The 23,335-nt window shown below is 41.1% G+C and overlaps 1 protein-coding gene and 1 long non-coding RNA gene across 3 annotated transcripts in view, besides 6 other annotated features; one reads left to right on the top strand and one right to left on the bottom strand.

The window, feature by feature from the left end:
• The window catches only part of PLCL2 (phospholipase C like 2), a 205,652-nt gene extending 202,849 nt beyond the window's left edge, over positions 1-2,803 (bottom strand). The window contains exon 1 of the mRNA NM_001144382.2: positions 2,392-2,803. Within this exon, the coding sequence (NP_001137854.1) occupies positions 2,392-2,718 (327 nt within the window). The 5' untranslated portion in view covers positions 2,719-2,803. The remainder of the gene's footprint in view (positions 1-2,391) is intronic.
• Positions 1,953-2,452: an enhancer, noted in NCBI's record as "H3K4me1 hESC enhancer chr3:16926805-16927304 (GRCh37/hg19 assembly coordinates)". NCBI's record gives its function as "activates a minimal SCP1, AML or CMV promoter by ChIP-STARR-seq in primed H9 embryonic stem cells {active_cell/tissue: H9 hESC(primed)}" and the evidence as "EXISTENCE:reporter gene assay evidence [ECO:0000049][PMID:30033119]".
• Positions 2,441-2,770: a silencer, noted in NCBI's record as "silent region_14121". NCBI's record gives its function as "represses an Ori minimal core promoter by ATAC-STARR-seq in GM12878 lymphoblastoid cells {active_cell/tissue: GM12878}" and the evidence as "EXISTENCE:reporter gene assay evidence [ECO:0000049][PMID:35858748]".
• Positions 2,441-2,948: a biological region, named in NCBI's record as "H3K4me1 hESC enhancer GRCh37_chr3:16926303-16926804".
• Positions 2,453-2,948: an enhancer, noted in NCBI's record as "H3K4me1 hESC enhancer chr3:16926303-16926804 (GRCh37/hg19 assembly coordinates)". NCBI's record gives its function as "activates a minimal SCP1, AML or CMV promoter by ChIP-STARR-seq in primed H9 embryonic stem cells {active_cell/tissue: H9 hESC(primed)}" and the evidence as "EXISTENCE:reporter gene assay evidence [ECO:0000049][PMID:30033119]".
• Positions 2,981-3,650: a silencer, noted in NCBI's record as "silent region_14120". NCBI's record gives its function as "represses an Ori minimal core promoter by ATAC-STARR-seq in GM12878 lymphoblastoid cells {active_cell/tissue: GM12878}" and the evidence as "EXISTENCE:reporter gene assay evidence [ECO:0000049][PMID:35858748]".
• LOC105376972 (uncharacterized) lies at positions 3,416-4,830 on the top strand. 2 transcript variants are annotated; one of them, XR_002959616.2, is made up of 3 exons: positions 3,416-3,913; positions 4,188-4,352; positions 4,494-4,830. It is a non-coding gene; the product is annotated as an uncharacterized LOC105376972 (long non-coding RNA). The 2 variants fall into 2 exon arrangements; XR_002959615.2 differs by having other exon boundaries at positions 3,416-3,917.
• Positions 3,951-4,659: an enhancer, noted in NCBI's record as "H3K4me1 hESC enhancer chr3:16924592-16925300 (GRCh37/hg19 assembly coordinates)". NCBI's record gives its function as "activates a minimal SCP1, AML or CMV promoter by ChIP-STARR-seq in naive H9 embryonic stem cells {active_cell/tissue: H9 hESC(naive)}" and the evidence as "EXISTENCE:reporter gene assay evidence [ECO:0000049][PMID:30033119]".
• Positions 4,831-23,335: the final 18,505 nt, after the last annotated feature.

Raw genomic sequence — 23,335 nt, 5'->3', positions numbered from 1 at the left:
AACTATCTGTGCAGTATTTGTTGCTTTATGAAATTTGATGTTAAAGACTTTGTTTTCTATTAGGATATTGTCCTGATGCTGGAAGTTATCTTTAGAAAATACCACAATACATTCCAAAAATCTTGATGCTTCAAGGCACCAATTCAAAGGGAAATATACCAAGTAGTTACCTATTTAAATATAGCATCCTCTCTTTCCTATAACCCAGTATTGATCAACTTTCAACACTACTTCCATAATTTTCGAAAGTTTTAAGAAAATGCAAAGTGAAAACAGAGGCAAGAAAAAGGAGTATGTCAAGCCTTCTTTGGAGGTACAATACAATGAACAAAATATGGGACTGGTAAATCCAAAACCAATTGTTTTATAAATTAACAGAACTCAGAGAAAACATGTACTTTCTCCATTCATTCAATAAGCAATTTATTGAGCTGCTACTACATTCCTGGCACTTTATATCTAGGGTTACACTGGTGAACAAGAAGCCAAATGCTTTCTTTACAAAGAAGAAAAATGACAAAATATCCTTAAAAGTTTCAGAATTCAACATAAGTATCAATATCATTTCTAAAATCAGTGATTTTTGAACATTAATCATTTCCCCCATGTGCTTCTAGAGCCTTCAATTAAGAAATGGTATCTATTGACAAGTTCCCAATTCCATATATCAGAAATACTAACAAATCATCCTTCTTGCTTATCGCCCAGTAATGTAAAATTAAAACAAATGTTTTTGTAATTCAGTAAGTTACACTATGAATCTCACTATGGACACTAATAAAGTTTGATTTTTTAATGCAAAAACAAGTATTCAAAACAATTAAAAGAAAGGGGTTAAAATTAGGTAGGCTGGTATCTTCTTTGGAATTTTCACCTCAAATTTTATTAACACCACAATGCAAAATCACCACAAATATTTTATGACAAATAAAAACAGAAATGTCACCTAACTCTGTCAATAGGATTGATTATCATGCACAGTTGAAAGCAACTTCCATGGAAACATAAGCTACAGAGTAAAAGAAAACGTAAGTCACTAAAAGCTATGTATGCAGCAAAAAGACACTTTACTTTCCTTAGTTTATCTCTACGTGTGTGCTGCAGGTAGTTAATACACTTCATCTCCAAACCCTTCAAATTGTGTCCTTGCCCAGACATAAACTGCGCAAACAGATGACAAAGGGAAATGCAGTTTCACAATTGCCTCTTACATAGAGTAGCAAGATGGTATATTTCACTAGATTACTGCATAAGTTGATAACACCATCAGACATTTTCACAGTACTTGGAAGATTTCTGTAGGTCCAATAAAATTTCAGATACCACCACTGCCAACTCTCTTTACTGTGGCACGTTCTGCCCTCCCACCAGTTATCAGCCACAGGAAGGGTGGGTGCAGCCTGTCAATTTGCTTTGCTGCTCCCTGTCCTGATAACTCCTTGATTTTCAGAAAGCAATGTTTTCATTTGCTCCAAACTTGAGCGAGCCGAATGAGCTGGTCTTGCCTAAGGCTCTGCTCTTCTTAGCTCATCAACTATTTTTTTTTGCACTTCATGTCATGAAAAATATTTTTACATTGCGAACCAAAATGTAACATTAGAATGAAACTAACACAAACTCGGGAGTTCCTAATATTACTTCTTGAGTTTAAAATGCTCAAAACAATCGCTGGCTTTCTTCCGCTAACACTGTGCAAGCAAAACCAAGCAAACTGCCCAAAAGAACTTCCACAGTACTCGAGGCCTGCCTACTGCAGCAAGGAAAAAGATTAAATCGTGTGGAACTGTAATCTCTGAGCTTTTGAGCCTAAGAAAGCGGAAATCTGCATTTATGTTCAGAAATCTACTCTATTTTTCTTTGTGACTGAGTGACCGGATATTAGGAGATTTTGCACCCTCGAAGTGTAAACATTTGTAAGAGCCAACTAACTGTATACGGATCAGAAGAACCCTATTAAATAATCTCTGTTCACCCTCTGTTCGCCGCCTGGGATTTTTAAGAAAATGTTCTCACATTTCACATAATCCCTATCTGTGTTTAAGATACAATAGAAATCTTACAGGGAGTCTGTTAACCAGACTAGGCTACACATAAGAGTATGCCCTACCCCGGCAGGTACAAGGCCCTAATGCCAGACCAATCCTGGAAGAGGTGACAGCCCCAAGTTCAACTGAGGATGTCTGAGCACAGCTCCCCCTGCACATTAGGGATCACCTCTCCATTCTTTCCACATGCCATTTGCATCCAATCCCCGCTCAACCACCCCAAGCACCCATGCTCCAGTGGTTCCTGTTAGCAGTGGGCTTCCTCCTTCCACCACCACTCCCCCAGGGAGAAAATAGAATCCAAGGACGGCTGAGGGTGGGCGATGAGCGCCCTTCTCCCACCTACCTTGATGATGCTGCTCCGGCGGGGCAGGCCGCCCGGCTTGCTCTCCCGGGGGAGGGTACAGACGACCGCGCTGGGGGTCGGGGCGAGCGCAACGCCGCGGGGTCCCCTGGTAGGGCTAGCCCGGGCTTCGTCCCCGGACACGCCGAGGCTGCAGTCTCCGTTGGAAACCCCGCCGCTGTCATAGCGCGCCCGCCCGTGGCCGAGGCGACCTCCCCCGCCACCGCCTTCCCCCACTCCGGCTTTCAGGGCGCCCTTGGCGCCGAGGGCCGGGCCCGGGGAGGTGGGCAGGGCCCCGCCGGCGGCGCCCCCCCGGCCGCACTCCGCCATGGGCGCCCCGCGACCCGCCTGCACAAAGCCGCGTCCTCGCGTCCCCGCGTCCCCGCCGCCGCCTCGGGCCGCCGCGCGCGGCCCCTCCTCCTCTCCTCCCGCCGCCGCCTCGGCCGCTTCTTCCGCTTTTTTTTTTTTTTAATTTAGATGTGATGTTTGTTTCGAGCTCTCGCCTTGCGCACGGTTAAAGTCGCGGCGGCAGAATTATCGGAAGATTCCTGCAGGGGAAAGAAGAGAGAGACGAGTCAGCTCCGGCGCCGGCGGAGCCCCGGCTCTCGGCACCTGGGGAAGGAAAACACGCCCCAACACACGCGCCTCTGCGGGCGCCAAAAATAACCCGCGCGGGCCGGGCGCCCACCCCGGGGCAACCCGCGCCCACCTCAGGGGCCCCAGGCACCCACCCCGAGGTAACGGGGCGCCCACGTCAGGGGCTCGGGGCGCGCTTCCCCGGGGCTCAGAGCAACTGGGGTCGGAGCACCCGCCACGCAGGAAAAGGCGCCCACCTCCGGCGAAGGGCGAGGGGAAGTGGCGGCCGCCCCGACACTCTCTGGACACGCGGAGGCGGCTCCCGAGGATCTCCCGGCCCCGGGCGGGCGGGGGGCGACGCGTGGGTCTCTCCGGACCCTAACTCCCCAGAGGCTGCCGCGTGCCGAGCTCTGTCACGTCCCCTCAGAGCCCCGTTAAGGCCCGCGGCGCCGAGAGGAAGCCCACGGCGGGCAGGGGCGGCCGGGTATGACAATCGCCGTGCGGCCCCGGGGCAGCTCCCGGAGGGGGCAGCCCAGACCCACCCCACCCGCCGGCTGCTGTCTCCTCCCGAGCTCGGCGCTGCCCCCTACAGGCCGCGTGGTCCCTCCTCGGTCGCCCCCTGACCCACCATGAGCCGCCTAGCTCCCTGTCGAGATTGCCGCCGTCGCGGCTGCTGTCACCGAGGCCGGGTCATCGGGCCGCGGGGACCTCAAAGCCGAGTGGACGGGAGCCCCAAGTCATTGCCTATCCTTCGCCTCCCCAGAGCTGCTGCAACTGTCAGTCACCCACCCGGAACCCCGAGGGGCAACTACCAAGTAGGCCTCGGGGCCCGGAACAAGGGTCCCGGGGCTCAGGATCTCGGCCGCTGCGCCTCACTCCTGCCCCAGCCCCGCGCACGGAACTCGTTTCCTTCCCACCCAGTTCGGGACACTCCTCTCTGACTTCCCCAGTAGGTCAGACTCATTTCATACACTGGGACCAATTCCTTTCCCTTGGGCTCCTGATTGATTCAACTAGTTGGAAGGATGCTGAGGCAGGGGTGAAGGCTGGGGTGGCTGGCAGGCTATGAGGGGCAGAGGACATCAGCAGAGCCTATTTCGTGCCCTCTGAGTCTCCACACACAGATTTATCATTGAGACCTTCCCGATTCCCCTACCAGGGATGCCGGCTGGCCCTGCCGGCCTGCGGGGCCCAGCCTAAGTCAGGCTCATCTTTTGGGACAGGATCTCACTTGCAGCGCTACAGCCAGTCCCTCTTCTGGTTCTCACGCACCCACTTAAGGCGGAGTGACTGGCCTAAAAGTCCAAGCTGATCGTGTGGCTTCCGTTCGTAAATATCTCCCCTGGATCTCCCTCCCTGGAGCCAGACAAGACTCAAAACTCCGAAGGGTGAGACCCCAGACCTTCCACCGCCACCCCACGCCCCAGGCCTGGGCCCACCCACCTCTCCATCCCAGGCTCCGTGGGCTCCAGCTTCCTACCCTCTCTGGCACCCCAGCCCTTCCCCAACTCGTGTGCTTTCATTTCCAGGAATGCAGTCCCCGCAGGGCGCAAAGGAGAAACTAATAGTCCAGAGGCGGGGTGAACTTAAAGACCTGGCTTTCATTAGCGTGGTGTTGTAACAGACTGCCAAGGAGCCTCTGAGGAAATGGATTTACGTACATATACATACTCGCCCTTGCCCCTGAAGCAACATCAAATACTTTCATGTTATTCTTGGGGGCGTTTTAATTCTTCCGATCCTCTGAATTCGTGTTTTTGTACATCTCTTTCCAACCTGGGCCTACACACTAACAGAAATAGTTTTTTACATCGAAGGACAATGCTTAGTGTTTTATTCAGTCTCAGCTCTTTTCTTTCTTTTTTCTCGTTGTGTTTCAAAATGTTTATTTTTTCTGTCTTGTGATAGTTTTGGAGGAAAAATATTGAAATAATTCAAATCAGGCTCTTAACTCTGCTTTATTAAATTTATAGTCATAGTAGCCTGTGAGTATGCTTCGGGGGAGGAAAAAAGAATGCTGGGGTCTTTATTCTTCAAGTTCTCTAAGTTTGATATTTTGAATAAACACCCAGAGGTGTCTCTGCCTTTTGTGTGTTAGTATCTAATCTTTCCTGCATTTACGAGTCACTAGTAAAATGCTATGAAAGCCATAGATCCCATGGCTCTCACTGTGATTTTCCTGGGCTGAGTAGGGACTTAGTGATGTTTAACCCCCAGTATGCTTTTTATAGAAGCACCAGCTGATTCACCAGTGCCCTCCAAAGTGAGCACCTATCCATCTCACTCTGGACTCCCAACAGGTCATACCAGGGAGCTTCGTTGAAATAGACTTGGCATTTAAATTAAAATGTTTCCCAAAGCATCTTGGCAGACCTGTAACTAATGATGCCAGAGGCCCAAGGCCTGTGCCAGGTTCCCTTTTATTCCCATAAGTGCTTGTCTCCCACAAGCCACTGGTCACACGCCTGCTGATGTTATAGAAGCACTTCTTCATCCCACAAACAGCCCAACTGTAGGTACCCTATCTCAGACATGGTGAAGGGAAGCAGCATGTTCCTCTGACATGTGCGATGCTTGGCTCCCAACAGGCTTTTTATAATAAGCTAAACTCAGATTTTTTCATCACAAATAGCGTAGTAAGTAATTGTTTTTCCTCATTCCTGCTTGTCTCTCTGCAGTCACTAAGTGGTTGCTGTCCATTCCTCATATTCCACAAGCAATATTATTGAAGAAATTGTAAATATTTTGCCAAAATTCTTGCTGAAGTGTTTTCATGGCATTGTGAAATTCGTAGTAGTTGGAGTTAGAAAAAGAGCCAAAATATCATAGTCATTCCTCAGCGAATATTGTCTAATGGTTCCCTCAGATTACATTTCAGAGCAGGGCAATAAAAGATAGGCAAGACATTAATAAAATGCCCATTCTAAATAGCTCCATGATGCTTATGCCAATTTATTTTGTCTGTATGCAAACGGTTGGATTCTGGTGAGTAACCTGCTCATATTTAAAGTAGATACCTTTAAAATCTCATTCTATCATGCCAGCAATACAAGGCTTTATCTCTTTTAAATTTTCTTCGTATTTCAATCCATCTCAGATTTTAATCATTGTCACTCTTCATCAAACTGTCTTCTATTTGCATCATCAATTTAATGCCCAGAACTTGAACTATTCAGACTCCCTGTTCCATAAGAACCTTCCTTCAGTCTCAAAAATAACACTGACTCAGTTTACTGACTTCTTGCCATCATTTATACCCTCGTAGGTTATGAATTCATATCTAGTTTCCAGTTCACAGGCTCCAATATTAGGACTCTCCAACTTTTTTTCTGATTCAGTGAGTACTTGGCCTTCAGATTATTTTCTTCCTTAATGTATTATGACAATTTTCATTTCCCAAACCTCAATCACATGTTATTTCCTCTATTTCTCCAAAGATGCAGTTCAACCTCTGAGCCTTCATAGTCAACTGCTGTTCATATGCTTAACATAAATGCTAACTAGAGCAGAAAGTAGATGACCAAAATGCTTTAAGGAAATAGTAGATTATATCAATGTACTAGTCCACACTGGCAACTCATTTGCTTCCTGAGTCAATCCAAGGGGTTGATTTTAATCTATTATGCTCCTACAGCTTAAATTATATTTATTTTATCATGATCCTCAACAACAAGAAATATGTAGCGATTGATTGCCTTTTTTCCTGAGCAGTAATGTGGCAAGTTAGACCTGCCAAAAGCTTTCATTTCCATATTTTCCTCTCTTCTGACACAAAAGATCCTTCACCCATTTTCCTTGGATCCATCTTCCACAAGTGTATATGGCTGCCAAGAAGTTAGGCACTCAGGGAATTACAGCTATGCTTTTCAGCCACTGAGGAGCTACTTTGCGAGTTCATTAAGTTTTTTCAGTGGCTATTGGTAGCACTTTGAGGGAATCTATTAATCAATGGGAATTTGATAAGATCATTCTATCAGCAAAAGGATACAATATGATAGACTAATATGAGTCCCTCAATTAGTGTAATAACTGTTACTTATTACACTGGTTTTATAAATGCTGTCTCATGTATATGATTGTATGTCTACCACCATTTTATTACAGGAGTCATTGCAAACTCAGATGTGTCTGGGGGCCAGGTAGGTAATGTAATGAGTGAAGTTGGAGGGATTTGTTTCATAATAGCATCATAATTCTTGTTTTTCCAACAACGATATACTTTGCATATCAGAGTAATACTCTTCCTGATTCACTTCTGGCTTTCTAATTTTGATAGGGCCTTGATACAAGAAATATTTCACTTTCCTCTTAACTCTAAAAAAGATGTGTGAGCATACTGATAAATAGCAACTGACACCCAGCCAGGTGTAGTATGGCAACACAGAATGTTAGACTCAGGTACTCTGGTGAGAAATCTTTTGGCTACCTTGAGGGAATCTTGGCTCAGTGCTGCCAAGACCATCTTGTTTTTCTAGAGAAGCCAAAAATCTGGAACATAAAACTTGTTATTTAGTTAGTTAGTTCATTCTCTTAAGGGAAGGACATCCACAAATTGAGGTCTTCACGTATTGTTTTTTATGAAGTCTACAGAGAGACCTATTTTTTTCCTATCCCACCTCCAAACCGCATGATAAGCAAAGTTTAGCAAATGCCTTCCAAAGTCTGCATTTCTTTGGGTCTTGTCAATCTGTTTTTTATTGACAGGTTTATTTTCATGAGTTTTAAGAAGTCAGAATATCTGATGACCACATCATTTTACACATCCCAATATGTGATGGGTTGCTACCAACCTATTTCCCTTCATCTACCCACTCCCAAATCCCAACCCCAGGAATATTTCATCTCTGAAATCTGAAACTCAGAGACTCATTGTCTAGCCAGAAACTCTGCCCTTTCATCAGTCCCATTCTCTTACTTCCCCCAAACCCACCTGCCAGTCTTAGCAAGACCTGTACTTTCTCCACCCCTTCCCAATCCCTTAGTCTATCAGCACCCTTTTTATCCTTTTTCCCCCGACCTAGCCTGGGCCTCATGACCAAGACCTTCAATTAAACCACATTCTCACTAGCATCCTAGATCCCTCACATTCTTGTCCTTCTGCTGTGCCCACCTTGACAATATACAGCTTTTCATAAATCTAACTATGGCTTTCTCCGTGCATGCCCCCAGGTGCCACTCTGCTGTGGGAAAAAAATCATATAGCTAGGCTGTGTTACATGTGTATGATTTCCGTCTTCAGCAGAGCCTCTGGTATATTGAGCAATATTTTACCGTTTGCTAATTGCCATAAATCTTTATTCTCCAAACTGTTACTCTTCAAATCCCAACTAACCCACTAGTTCTCAATATCAGCAGTTGTCCTAGGATTCTACTTCACAAAATGCACCAAAAAATAAACTGCTTTAACTTTTTTTCCATTCCACTTATTGTTACTTCACCTACCACCCCTGCTGTCTAAGGGTAACCCTGAATCAGAAACCATCTATGTATATTTTCTATGCTTATTGGACTCTTCTGCTGTGATGTGATTGATCTTTTGATACCAAGGTGTTTTGTTACCCTCTAGTTGGCAGAAGCTGGAATGGGGTCTTCCCTGAGTGAGTGGCCAATCCCAACTTCAATCATACAAGGGCAGGAAGGAGTCAGGGATTTGGAAGACAGCCTTAGACCACTTTCTCTTGGGTCTGGTGCCTTGAGTCTTCATGGGTGCTCCAAGGGAGTGAGGAGAAGACTAGGGCCTCCAGGAGCCAGAAGGGGAAGAAGTTGCCTTCATCAGAAACCCCATGAGGCTGAGCCTGTGGGCTCCGAGGATAGGGACTTTGTGTTTAAATGTGCTTTTTATGGTCTAATTCCCCAAAGTTGTTAATAAAGAGGGGTTAGTATTAATAACTCCTCTCAGCTGTACCATCATGGATAAAGTGATGGCCTCTGAAAGACAGAGCTACTCCTTCTCTCACCCCCACAGCCAGTGTGATGGCTGTGGCAGCCATGAGTGAGATTCCAGGGGAAAGTAAGTCCCTGAGTTAAAGAGGCAAGCGGTAATCGGAGTAGACCAACCCCTCAGGGAGCTTCTCTTTCCTTTGTAAACCTTGAAGCACTGAGGCAGTTCTTCCAGTTCTTCTACCTTGCTTTGTCACATCTCTTGGTCCATTCTCTATGCATTTTGCTTTCTTCCACATATAAATACATTCTAGACATCCCTTCCTAAAAATTTTTCCTCAACTCTCTTTCCTTCTCAAGCTACACCTTCTCACTCTCCTTGCTCCTCACACTGAAATTTCTGTGTAAAAAAAAAAAAAAAAAAAAAAATTCTTTTCTCTCTGATGTTCATTGTTCTTTTTGTTACCAGCCTATTGTAACTGGCTTCCATCCCCTTCTATGGAAACTGTCCTCCCAAAGATCATGGTTAAAATCCTGTATCAACAAACTCAATGGCTACTTTTTAGTCTTTACCTGTCTTGGCGTTTGTGGAACATTTAGTATTGCTAACTCTCCTTTTATTGTTGAAACTCTCACTTTCCCTGATGAGATTCTTGGCCTGACTGTGCCCCAGGAATCTTAAACTCAACATACCTTCATTTTAATTCCTTGAATCTGTCCTTTATACATCTGTTTTGTTTTGCTATCCATGCTGTAGACTAACTGAATGAAGAACTCAGCATCAACTTCCACTCCCAAGGCCTCCTGTTCCAGTTAACTGTCGAGGCATTGTAAATCAACTGAGAAGTACCTTTCAAACCCATTCCCACCAGAATGGCCTGCTTTACTGTCTCATTGCACTATTGTCTATTGGACTTCTGCAATAGCCTCCCAACCCTGCCTGCCTCTACTCCCTCCCAACTTCAATCTATTTCTCAAACCATCAAAGCATTGTCCTGGAGGATCACTACTCAATCCCAAAGTCTCCAACAGTTCACTTTAAAACAAATTTGATTCCCTTTGGGAGATGCACAAGTTCCATCATAACCTGGCCCAATCTTCCTTTCTAGCATTGTCTCCTACCTAGATATGTTCCATAAATGCTAGTCATGTCAATCTACTTCCCTGAAAAGGCCATGCAGTCTCACCCTCAGTGTGTTTGCTTATGGTGTTTGCTAGGTTTAGAATTCCTGTTTCCCTCTCTGCATTGGAAGAACTTAGAGGCATTCTTCAAGAAAACACAAATGCTTCCTCCTTTGATAAGATGTTTCTGACTCCGGAAAATTAATTGCTCCTCTAGGCTCTTAAAGCACTTAGTACATACCTCGACAATGGCCCTCATTATAATATATTGCAATTATTTATGTATGAGTCTTTTTCCCCACATGAGCTTGAGATCAACAGAGCATAACTTACAAATCTTTTCTCCATACTAAATGAGCTCATCAGAGTTTGACACTACATAGGATTAATCCTCAAACTGTCTGCACCAGCCCAGGACCTGACATATCATATATCTTCCATACATTTGTTGATTTTAATTAATAAGGCTGTTTTAAAATCCATCTTTGCCCTTCATATGCTTATAAAACCCTTTCTTATTTCATTATTTCATAAGGCCTCTTTCCTTGGTTCGACTGAATATGTTTTATTCTGTGCCTTCCAACTTTTCTTCCTATTTTTCCTTAGTAACTAATACAAATAAGTTCATCATGTTGCTAGCATTTATAAATTATATATGTATTGTGTGAAAAGGACTGTATTTGATGCTGTGGGGGGAAGGTGACTGGGAGTTTGGGGTAGGAAAATGGAGGCTTATTTTTCATTATGTATGCATTACAGTTCCAATTTTTAAAGTAGTTAAAAATAATAAAGGGAGCAGTCCCAGCCCTGCTATGGTTAATAAAAATTGTGACCTATCTCTGAGACGTAAGATTAACAAAACCTTACCAGACCAAAAACATCACCCCTTCAGCTTGGCACACTGCCTGACTCCTTTCTTAATTAGTTGGAAATTCTAACCATCAACAATACACAACACAAGAGAGGACACAATCTCCAGAATGTTGCTGTTAAAATGTACAAATTACCTGGAAAAAGGAAGCTTCCCTAGACAGCTCCCACTTACGCTCATTAGCAAAAAATGAGCTAAATGTCACCCTGTTCTTTTTGGCAGAGACATATGGCATTCACATGAGAGAGAAAAGACAGATTAATCTTGTTACCCAGAAGGTGGCAGGACAAGTTTCGGGGGGGGCTCCCTCCCATCCCCTACTCCAAAAAACCTTAGAGGGCGGCTTGGGCAAGTGAGGAGAGGTTGTGAGCCACATTGTGGTTTTATAATCTGGCTCGATGTCTGCCCTGAGACAGAGAAACACCTAAGAGAAGGGTTGGGAGGGCAATGAGACTTGAGAGAACCTAGGCCTTGGAGGAAGTGATGGAGCTGGCTTGCTGGACAGGGGTCAGAAGGTCATTCCAGGGAAGATGGGCAGCCCAAGCGAAGACACATCCAAGTTCCTCTTCTACTCACTAGTCCCTATGCAAATGCTTCTTGCACTATTAAACTTTAGTTAAGACACGATGAAGAAGAGGCCTTAAATGTTCTTTTAAAATCATATGACCATGTAAATAGAGGATCTTGAACTCAACTGGGACAAGGACAAGAACTAGAGGAAGTGGATAAGCTGTAGCCACAGGGATTTTGGGTGCCACAGAAAGGAAATTGTCCCTGCTCTGACATTAGGCACTGATATGCATTACCAGCAAGGCCTTGGAATTTCCTTTTCACAAGAACCTTAAGAAGGTAGACAGTTATCTACAGGGATGGTATGAGCAGTTCCAGCCTGAAGGCAAAGGTCATAATGAATGACTCCCTTTGACCTGCTGATTCTGGGTATTTAATCACAGATTTTTAAAAACTTTTTTGAAGTCAAATTAGATGTTAGAATTTTTTTCTCAGTTTTCTTTGTCTTCATTTTCATGGAATTACTATTTGGTGTGGTGTAATGAAATGTTTCAGCCCTCTTCCAAACACGTATTTCTCACGGGGGGGTTCAATTGCCTATTTACTGTTTTGAAATGGAATACCTTTGTAATCATATATTCCCGCAGTTTGAGTTCACATGTTTCATCTAGCTGGTCCATTTTTCTGCCTTTTAAATTAGGTTCACTAGTTTATTTTTATCATTGAGCCAAAGATCTCAGGATGTTCTCTGCTTGGGGTAGATTTTCCACTTGAAGAATTATAAAATGACCCTCTTCCTAACATGGTAACTTCTTTGATGCTGTACACTTGCTGTGTTTGTAACAGTTAGGGGAAATTAAAGTGTCTGGTAGAGTACAATATTAATGCTATTAGAGTACATGGAGAAATTTTAAATCTCCCTCAATCTCTATTTCTGATGATGGATTCCTTGGGGTTTTAACTCTATGTTGTATTCAAAATAGTGTTTGGTTTTTTTTTTTTAATCGTCATATTCTCCAGTGTCAAACTCAGCATTATTGCTTCCACAAATACTTTGTACATTGAACCATCTCTATGTTATTTTATTCATCTGTTCCTCTAAGAAGACCTTGTTAATCTACAGTGACATTTCAGCCATAAAAATGAGTTCAACCATCTCTGTTCTGTCTCTCTTTTCCTTTTAAACACTCAGCTTAAATCTTAAGTCTTTCATAAGCTCTCTTCTCTGCAGTGGTGAGTAAACATTTCATTCCAGCAGTCTACTGTTCTCATTCTTACTTGTAGGGAAATTCAAACCTTCTGTCTAATTTTGGGTATTAGGAAGCAGCCTGGCTGTGTAACTTAGCCCCCAGACCCAAGATACTCTAGCTGAGAGTATGGATCAGAACCCTTGCCAGTTGGTCATTGCTTGGCATAAGACAAATCCTTTAAACCTTAGCCATTTCATTTTCCTTCTTGGTCACGCAGGGATAAAAATGGTGACCTGTTTCCTGACCTGCCTCCTGATCTGCCTGCCAGGGTGGATGCAGACCAACATTTGCAAACCTTAACGGACAATATGAATGCTGATTGGAAAGAGAGCAATTGGAGCTCACAAATAATTTCCCCAAAGGTCAATTAGACCCACAAGATATCTCTGGCATACAGAGGAAGTATCGGCCTCATCTATATTTAATGTAATTCCCTTCTCCCTGGTCCCATTAAAGAAGAGTTTGGGGTGCAATAAATAGTTCATGATAAAAATGTCCATGCACCCACTTTCCAGAACCCCAGCCAGTGACCCCCTTATTTCCATTTTGAATATAATAAAATGTCTGTTCAATAACAGAATATGGATATTTGTTGGAACATACAAACTACATTCTCTTTGCAGTGCTATTGGCAACTGATTCCTATGTATTATGTTGACTTGGGGATTGTTTATATACCCACTCACCCCTCAGCACACAGCATGTTATAAAAACGTCTTACTTTTAAATACAAGCTGATAATTCTGAAGAGAAAGAAACGTAAAACATCGAGAATACAAAACCTAAATCATAATCTCATCAACAAAGAGCCAGGGTAGCACAGCAACCAGAGACTGTAATGGGGAAAACCATTTCTGAATCCAGAAAGGTGGGCAAGTAATAGGTCTCATGGGTTGGGAATAAGATTATTCATAAGTATCAAAATTAAAGAAAGTGTCAGGAGAATTAGGGCTTTCCTTGTGTGGCTGGCTTGGGAGCCCTACTTGTTTCTGGCATGTGTGGAATAGGGAGCAGAGACGAAATAACAAAAACTTATTTTGTTTCCCTGTGTGAGTCAATTTACAGTAATTCCAGCCCTCAGGATGGGACACGCGGGCATCATGAGCTAAGCAGAGTATCAGAGATGTAGCTTCACATCCCTGAACGCAGGCCCTTCAGAGGGAGTACACAGGGACTCTGGGGTGGGCCTGCTTTGAGATTTAGGTTTCACAGACTTATTTCATCAAGATTCTCTTTCCAGGATTTGGAGGTGGGATTCCTGTGAGTATAATTTAAGCCTTCAGCAGCAGCTATACTAAAAAAGAGAAGGTCAGTTTGAAGATAGAAAAGTGAAGCAACAGATATCGGGTCTATCAGTGATAACAAAGAACGCTCATCTTCTTCTGAGCCAGATTGTCTCCCTCAGTGAGCGAGAGGGAAGGAGGAATGCCGTGCTGAGAAGAGAAAGAGGAGCAGGTTGAACATATTTATTCCCATTGTACAGATGAGGCACTGAGGCACAATTAAAGTTATATCACTTGCTCAGGGCCAAGTATGGCTCCGAAGTCCATTAACTTTACCACTGTGGAATACTGAGGAGAAAAAAATGCCAGGACACCCTCCTGGAAAGTGCAGCCCAAAAGGAATGGTAGCTATGTGAACACCTCTACATCTCTATTATCTTCAGCAGATTGGGACCCAGTTCAGTCGTCCTGGTTAGCTATTCCTTTGCTAGGGGCACCTGGGCTTGGAGAATTCCACTCCATGAATCCCTTGCTTTCTGCTTCCCTTCCTGAGGTCACTGTACAAAAAGACAAAAAAACACATCAGAGTGTTCAAGTAGTACCACCATCTTGGGGAAGCCTTGAGGGTTGACCATGTACCACAGTGGAGAATCAGTGAACATTCAATATGCACCAGGCACGATTTCAAGAGCTTCTCATGCTTTACCTCACTTAGCCCTGACAGAAACTCTGATAAACAGCTAATTTTATTTTCTCCATTTTACAGATAGGCAGGCTAAGGAGGCACAGAAAGGTGAAGTGACTTGCCCAAGATCTAACCACAGTGAAGACAAGCTAAGGCAGAGAGGAGTATGGGAGAAAAGGTCGTAAGCCTTAAATGCAGTGCACAGGAGCAAACCCAGTCCTCTGTGTTACGAGGCTGAGGGGGATGAGGATTCTTGGCTGTGGGAGAGAGGTTGGGGCAGAGCTGACTTTTGTTCCTGCTGCTGCTCCAGGCAAAAGCCTTAGTGGAGCCTGAGGTGAGTCTCATCGGCTTAACACCTGACCTCAGGCTCCCCTGGAAGAACAGTAGTACTCCCTTATTTTCAGGGGATATGTTCTAAGTCCCCAGTGGATGCCTTAGCTGCAGATAGTACTGAAACCTATATATAACACATTTTTTTTTCTATCTTATAACTGAGAAGGCTACTAAGTGACTAATGGGAAGGTAGCATATACAGTGTGAATATGCTTGACAAAGGGATGATTCATGTCTCCGGTGGGATGGATGGAGGGGGATGTTGAGAGATTTAATCAAGCTATTCAGAATGTTGTGCAATTTAAAACCTATGAATTGTTTCTTTCTGAAATTTTCAGTTTGATATTTTTGGATGGCAGTTGACCATGGATAACTGAAACTGAGGAAAGCAAAACTTCAGATAAGGGGGGACTACTGTAACAAAGGAACACTTGACATGAAGCGAAGGAGACACAAGAAGAGAACTTTTAGCAGCGATTTCACCCTGGGGATGAGGAAATGTGAAGAGCTCACCAGGGAACTTTCTCAAAGCTGCCTGGCTAGAAGAGGATTGCGTTTTAGATGATACAATGACTTATCTAGAAAACCCAACAAATCCTCCCCAATCAGCCTGTGGTAAAAATGAGTTCAGCATAGTCACAGAACATACCAGCTACGTAGTTTGCAGGAGCCCTTTGAAAAATGAAAATTCAGGGCCTCTTGTTCAGAAATTATTAAGAATTTCAAGAAGGTAACAATAGAGCATTAAACCGAGTTCTGAGAGCAGGACCCTGTGTGACCACAAGGGTCACCCTTGAAGCCAGTCCTTGTTCAAGGCATGTCTAGGAGAAGCTGGCCAAGTATAAAAAGAAACTCATAGAATTATAATTACAGCTCTCAGTACTAAAGCTTTAATGGCAGAATCTGTGCTCAAATAAGAGAGAAACTATAGCAGACAAATATTAGGAATAAAGTAGAAAAATAGACTTATGGAAACTATGGAATCATAGGGCAAGGGATTGTAAAGCTTCTTTCTACTTATACAAATTAATCATATACTGGGAGAGAAAAAATGCACTAGAGCTAATGCAAAAAACAATAGCATGAAACCTATGAAACCATATTCTCATATGACAACATAACAGGATAATTATACTTAAATAGGAAAAATGGAATTCCACAGAAACAAATCTACACGGAAATAAAAATTAAATATTTCACATTAATTTATGTAAAGCTATAGTAACAACAAATTTAAATAGCCTGAGATGCTAGCAGAAATGTACTAAAAAGGAAATTTATCTCTTAGATATACATTAATAAGAAAGAATAAAAACATCTTTAATTAATTCTGTATTAAATAATTCTAAAATGGAATAATGTAATGAATCAAAACAGAGTAGGAATATAAAAATACAACAGACATTTTAAATATAAAGGAGGAACAGTAGGAATAAGCCAACAAAACAAGAGTTTGCATGTTGACAAAATGGACAAAATTGATAAACTATTGACCCAATGAAAAAGAAATTACAAGTTCGTGAAATCAGGGAAAAGACAATTAAAACAGCGTAGATTTTATTAAGTGTTAAAGAGCATTGTTCTTAGCTGTAAGTGTATAGCTAGTTGAGCAATCATGTTCATATGATTTCTCACAAACATGTAATGAAAACATATGCAATTAAAAAACATGATCAATTCCTGATACATAGATAGGAAAGGTTAGATATTATGACCCTGATGCAGTAACTGGAGAATTTTTCTAAGCTTTTAAAGAATAAATAGTGTTTTATGCTGCTTAAATTGCTCTCCAAAAACATTTTTAAGGTGTTATATTTCCTTAGGGAACAATATTTCTAAAATAAATTTGTTGAGCCTCAAGCTTGTCAGGGCTAGGCAATCTCATTAATGAAACAAAGGTGCAAAACCTTAAGCAAGATTTCAGCAAATGAAATGTAATAGGTTAAAAAATTGTCCAGTGTGGAAAAAGCAGGATTTACTCCAAGTATATTAGAGTAAAATATTTAATAAAATTAATCACAAAAAATAAGCAAAATAAATACAGCAAAATAAATAAGGATTACTGCCTTAATAGAGCATAAATGCGTTAAATGTAAAAGTCAACTATAAATACTAGCATAATGTACTTAAAAAGGAAACAATGATATGTAAATACAATGAATAAAATTTTATTATAAATTATGTTTTAGCAAGTTAATGCAGCTATATCTAAAAACTAGAAATAAACAACAAGCCACAAAAGTATTAAGGAATTCAGAAAAAAATCAGACGGTTTAACAGAGTCACAAAATTCAATGCCATTTTTTTTTTTAATTTTTAGTGACAGGATCTCACTCTGTTGCCCAGGCTGGAGTGCAGCGGTGTGATCATAGCTCACTGCTGCTTCAAACACCTGGGCTCAAGCGATCCTCCCACCTCAGCCTCCCAAGTAGCTGGGAGTACAGGTGTATACCACCATGACTGGCTAATTTAAAAAAAAAAACACATTTTTGTAGAGATAGAGTCTTGCTATGCTGCCCAGGCTAGTCTTGAACTCCTGGTCTCAAGTGATCCACTTGCCTTGGCCTCCCAAATTGCTGGATTGCAAGTGGGAGCCACCACACCCAACCTCAATGGTATTTCTTTATACTAATGACATACCAGTAGAAAATACAGAGTTTTCATTAAAACTATGAAAAAAGTTAACGAAATCAATTCAGAATAGATTGACTAAAAAAAATATGTAAAACCCAGATGAAAAAATGAAGGAATATATAATAAATAAGCAGAAATCAGGCATTTGGAAAGCCTAAAATTAGAAAAGATGACAAAGAAAACACCTGAATTTTAAAGAATGCAATACTGATATTGCTATAATGGTATAGTGTGGGATACTGTTACATACTATATATTAAGTGATAGTATCCTGTACTATTACAGTATGTACATACTAACAGTAATGTACTATTACGCCAAATACTGTTACATAAATTAAATGTTTCAAAGTAGTTTTACATTAACCATGTTTGAATGGATTTAAAGTCTCATTTTTTATAAAGATGCTTCTGTTTATGAAGAAAGAAAAGGAAATGCTATGCTATATTGCAACATGACCACAACAGTTACCAAATTTTGGTTATACAGTGCAATTGCACCACAGGTTTCACTTAGGAAAATTCAGCTGTACTTACTCTCATCTCTATTTGATGTAATTTTAAATGCTGCCAAATTGTGTTTTGTCTTTCTCACCTAGGAGTCCAGGAGAAATTAAGTCCGAATTCACTAAGACATCCATTCCTAGTATGTAATGTATTAATATTAACTTATTTCCTTGAGATCTAGGATTGTGTTAGCTATCACATTTTTTTTTTCTCAATGTTGGGAGAATTGAGAAAACAGTCACCACAATCATTTTCTGTGTTCTGTGGTTCAGAAGAAGATTCCTAGTAAATTTGCTAAAAATTGACTCATGCACATAGAATGGGTGAATTTTAGGTTGTATAAATTATACCTCAATGAAGTTGCTTTTAAAAAAAATTATTTAGCTATTAAAAGAGCAAGTGGTTTCCTCTGAAAGAAAACCAGACACCAAGACTGTAGAACAGTGTTGTCCAACAGAACTTTCTGCAGTGTTGGAAATGATCTGTATCTGCATTCTTTAATATTGTAGACACTGGTTGGTGTGGCTTATCACCCTGTGAAATCTGCCTAGCTACTGTAACTGAGGAGCTGAATTTATTTTATTTAATTTTAATTAAATTTAACTAGCCACATGTGGCTAGTGGCTAGCATATCAGATAGTGCAGCCACAGAGAATTTTAGGGTCGCACCTAAGGAGACTCATCAAGGGGTGTGAGTTGACCTCCTAGAAATTTTTTCAGGAAAACATTGGCTAACTGGAGTCCTAGAGACACTGACTTCACCAAAGTCAAATTCTCTACCTTACACTTCCTCAGAAGCCATAATTCCAGCTCAACTCATTCCCACCTTCACTAATCCCTCATCAAGAGCCCACGATGGAGAGTCTACACACTAACAGCTGCTTTATATTTCAGTTTGAGAAACACTCCCTTCACAGATGGGGAAACTATGATCCAGAAACCTTAATAACTGGGCTGTTTTATTCCTTAGACACCACAGATGCAATGTCCAAACCCTGGGGGTTCCGCAAAGACTATAGAAAATGTTTCAGACCTTAAACAAATAAATAAATAAATAAATAAATAAATAAATAAATAAAATATTGGTTCAAAAATATAAAAAGGGAAAAACAAAATCAATGAAAATTTTTATTGCAGATTTGTTAGAAACCCACTTACTTTTCAATAGAAGTGAAGTTATAATCACTGACTGGGAGTGTGGTTAATATAGTTAATATGATGATGGGTGAGTTCCCACCATTAGTGTCTAGGGCATTTGAAGGTTTCAAAGGCCATAAGGGGCCTCCAAGCTTGTTGTTATTCCTTTTAGAACACTGTCCACATTTTATTTACATTTTAATACTAACTTTAACCTTAAATTCATATGTTCATTCATCTATTTTTTTTTGTATTGGTTTTACTTAAACTTGAATGCATGAAAAACAAAGACTGTAAACAAATATTTAATATATGTGCAACTTATAACACAAAAGAGCTGCTTTTATCAGAAACCCAACTCCCTTCCACCATTTGTTTTATAAATACGGATGTCAAAACTATTCTGAGCATATTTTTAATTCTACCAGTAGCCAGCACCTGCATCTCTTCAAAGATTAACACATTCGGGAGGAGTATTCATCACACCTGCTATTTTTAAAATAATTTAAACTGCAGCTCTTTCACTAAGCAAGGGAAGATAAAAACAAGAAGTCCATTTTTCTTGAGACTAGTTTTTTGGAAATGATTATTATCTGACACTTCTCGCCATACTTATGTTTTCTAAGCCTGAACATCTTGGATATTCTAGTTTATGCTTAAATGATGCCTTGCTAAGAAGAAAAATTTGTGCTTCATTTACCTCCCTTTGTCTGAAAACATAATGGGTGTATGTATACTAAACAAATTCTTATGACTGTCCAGCTCATTGTTACCGCTGTGATTCGTTTACTTCATGGGTAAGTGGTTTGCATCATGACATTTAATCACACCATTAACAAGAGTAGAAGATATGTTGATTTAAGCAAGTTTGAGATACACCAAAATTAATCATTCTATATTTGTGTTTCTGGTGGCTATGAAAAACTGTATTTTCTCTGGATGTCATTATATTTCTTAGCTCTTAAAGTCCAACTTTAATACTACATAAATTTGGCCATTTTGCCAACATTAGAACACTCCATGCATCCACCATTCCTCTAGAATTATTTTTCTGATTTATATTTTGTTACAAATGCAATTACTAGAGGAGCTTCAGACTACTGGGGTCCACATTCTACTTTATGTCTGTATTTTCTGTTCAGAATTTATCAGTGGAGACTTCTGGGCTTGTTGATAGAGCTAGTTCTATGATTCTATTTCCACATCAAATGTTCCTCTTGCTGCATTATTTTATCACTTATACAGATTTTTACTTATATTTCAAAAAGCACATTCAGTGCTGAATATGTACTACGTGCTTTTCTAAGTACTAGACATATATTAACTTACATAATCCTGACAACAACCTTGTAAATTAGACACTGTTATCATCTTCATTTTGCAGACGAGAAAATTGAGGCACAGAGAGGTTACATAACTTGTCTAAGATCACACAATTAGGAGCAGAGCCAAGACTGGAGCAAGGCTTTAGTGCATGACCACTTCACCATCGTGCTATGCTGTTCCCCACAACTTAGTGTATAGGGTCCCACTAATCTGGTTCAGATTCCCAGTGTGACTCCAGATCTGAGGTCATGCCGAGGTGTAAGAGCATCCACAGGGGAGAAACCTGGAGAGGGCAGAGGCACCTATAAGGTTCTAGAGCCGGCATATCAGCAGACTGGTGGGTCCATGGGCTGTAAGGGATTCCCTGGATGATAAGCAATTCCAGTGCACTGTGAAGTGACTCTCTCCAGCCTTGGATCAACAGCTGCCAGTGAGCCAGAGCTCAGTGCCCTTTGTCATCTCACTAACAAACCAGCGGTAGCCCCAGTTACATCCTTGTGGTAAACCTCAAACAATTATGCCTTTGCCCTCTAGTGTTATTTTTCTCCTTCTAAATATTGCCACATTTGGAGACAGGATAAAGATTGTCAGAAGAGGGGAAGACACATGAGCATCTGAATAATTCTGCTTACATCAATGAACGGCCAGGGCACCATCCACCCCTGGAGGCTTTCCCTGGAAGATTAATGATCCTCCAAAATCAAACGGAAACAAACCAAGGCCAAAGAGCAGTAAATCAAGCCCCAAATCATCACATACTCTGAAAGTTTAGCCTTGAATCTTACATCAAACAGTATTCAGCATTTTGAAAAACATAAGAACACTGGAGGTGGGGAGGTGGGGGGGTTGTCAGTACCACATCATGAAAAGGGTTTTATTCACATCAAACTCGAATAAAATGGAAATGTCCACTGTGAAGAAGTTGAATGAAGAAATATGTATCAAAGCTGTTGATAGCCAAAGATCCCTCATTTTGTGTTTTACGAAATTCTGTCAAAAATTGAACGAATTCTCATTCACACAGTCATTCTCTGAGAATGATTCCCCAGGAAACTGACTCTGAGATGGAGATTAATGTGTAGGAGGTTTATTAGGAGTGTTCTTGGATAAAGAACTGTAAAAAGGAAGAAAAACCAGCAGGATTGGGCAGAAGGAGAGGTTGGGCTCTCCTTGGGGAGTTCAGGAGCTGGATGGCCCTTCAGAGTTGTCCCAAGTTGGAGCAGGCAATGGTGCCAGGTTTTATACCCCTCCGTTGGCCAATTATTAGATATGGTTTGCCCTGGAAAGATAGCCTGACCTGGGGGAGGTGACTCTTTCCAACCAAGATCAACTCTAAATAGGGCTGAGGGCCATCTGCTGATAGTGCTCTCAACAGCAGAAGGAATAGGTCCTTCAGTTCTACGACAGCCCTGTCCCGCTTCAGCTTTCACAGGCTATGTATTTGTAGGGAAAACATTTTGTTTTTAACATAACTCTAAAGGGATAGGTCTTTGTGTTATTTAGCTCCTCCCAATAACAAAATGGCATGATGAAGTTATAGATTAAAATCTAGTCCCCACTATGCAATTTAGGATATGCCTCTTAACTCTAACACGAAAACCCTTGTTCTGTTTCAGCACCTTAAAAGTAAGGTTTCCCTAAAAAGATTGTGTTCATTCTTGCCATTGCTGTTTGCAAGCCAGGATCACTGTACTAAAGCCTGGCTGTGTCAAATGGGAAAATGAAGTCCATTTGTAAGCTGTAAGAGTGAAAAGGGAAAAAAATAGATGATTTGTTTTCTTTTCCAATTCCAATGCTGGAACCACAGTTGATGCCCAGTAATAAGTGGTTAACTAGGAATTAAAATAGCATGGCCCTACTGGCTTAAAATATGGAATCTCAAAGTGGGTCTTTGAAAAAATTCCTTGACTCATTCATAAGAAGAGCCAAAAATGCTATATTTTATGGGGGAAATATGAGGATGAGGATAAATAATATACAGAGGAATGGATTTAGAGACTTTTAAAACCCATTAGCATGTACAAATTATAAGACACAAAATTCGTTCCTATCATGGGCCTCATGAATAGTTTTCCTTGACCTTTTCATGATGATGGATTTTTTAAAATCCACCAAAAAAGTTGAAATGTCAACAAACTAATATATTTTTATGCATATTCTGACTTTGAATGAGTCAGCCTAACCTTGTTTCCTACTTGCTAAAGAATATTGTTGACCTATTGTATTCTAAGGTTATTGTAACTCTCGGCCCCTAGTAGTCATTTCTCTGCCCAGAAAAAAATTAGATCAAATAATTGTTCACTTAATTAGAACATATCAAGAAAACTCAGTGCTAAATTCAGAGGATAACAGTAACTTAGTTGTTCAAATTATCTTCAGGTTTTTTCAAAGAATCCAGAGGAATCTGAGGATGAAGCAGTCACTCAGCGCTTTACTGAAAAAACTGGATGATGTCTCTTCAGCAGTAAAACATTAATAAAGTCCAAAGCACAGAATTACTCATTCCCCACTTCTGACTCATGCACATTTTCAGAAATAATCCTTCTTTAAATGTTGCTGCAATGGGAAATGTGAAGAGCAAAGTTGTTTTGGCACAGCCTCACTTTTGTTTTATTGAGTTATGAACCATGTTTAGTTTCGCACTTACGATATTGTGCATTCCAGATGATATATTTGCACACATAACATTACTATATACATTAGAAAGAGACCTGCTATGGCAGCTCCTATGATTTAAAAAGTCTCTATACAGCTATTCAAAGAAAACGTTTTAAAGTGATCTATTACCTTTCCCCAGGAAAATAGTTAATGTCATCAGAGTAACGTAAATTTCATATAATATGTATTGTAATACCCTTTGATTTGAGAGCATGTAATGGCAGTTATACGTAAGG

The sequence above is a fragment of the Homo sapiens genome, chromosome 3, assembly GCF_000001405.40.
Source record: "Homo sapiens chromosome 3, GRCh38.p14 Primary Assembly".
Taxonomy (NCBI): domain Eukaryota; kingdom Metazoa; phylum Chordata; class Mammalia; order Primates; family Hominidae; genus Homo; species Homo sapiens.
The sequence above is the reverse complement of the archived record's forward strand: the minus strand, read 5'-3'. Positions and strand labels throughout refer to the sequence as shown.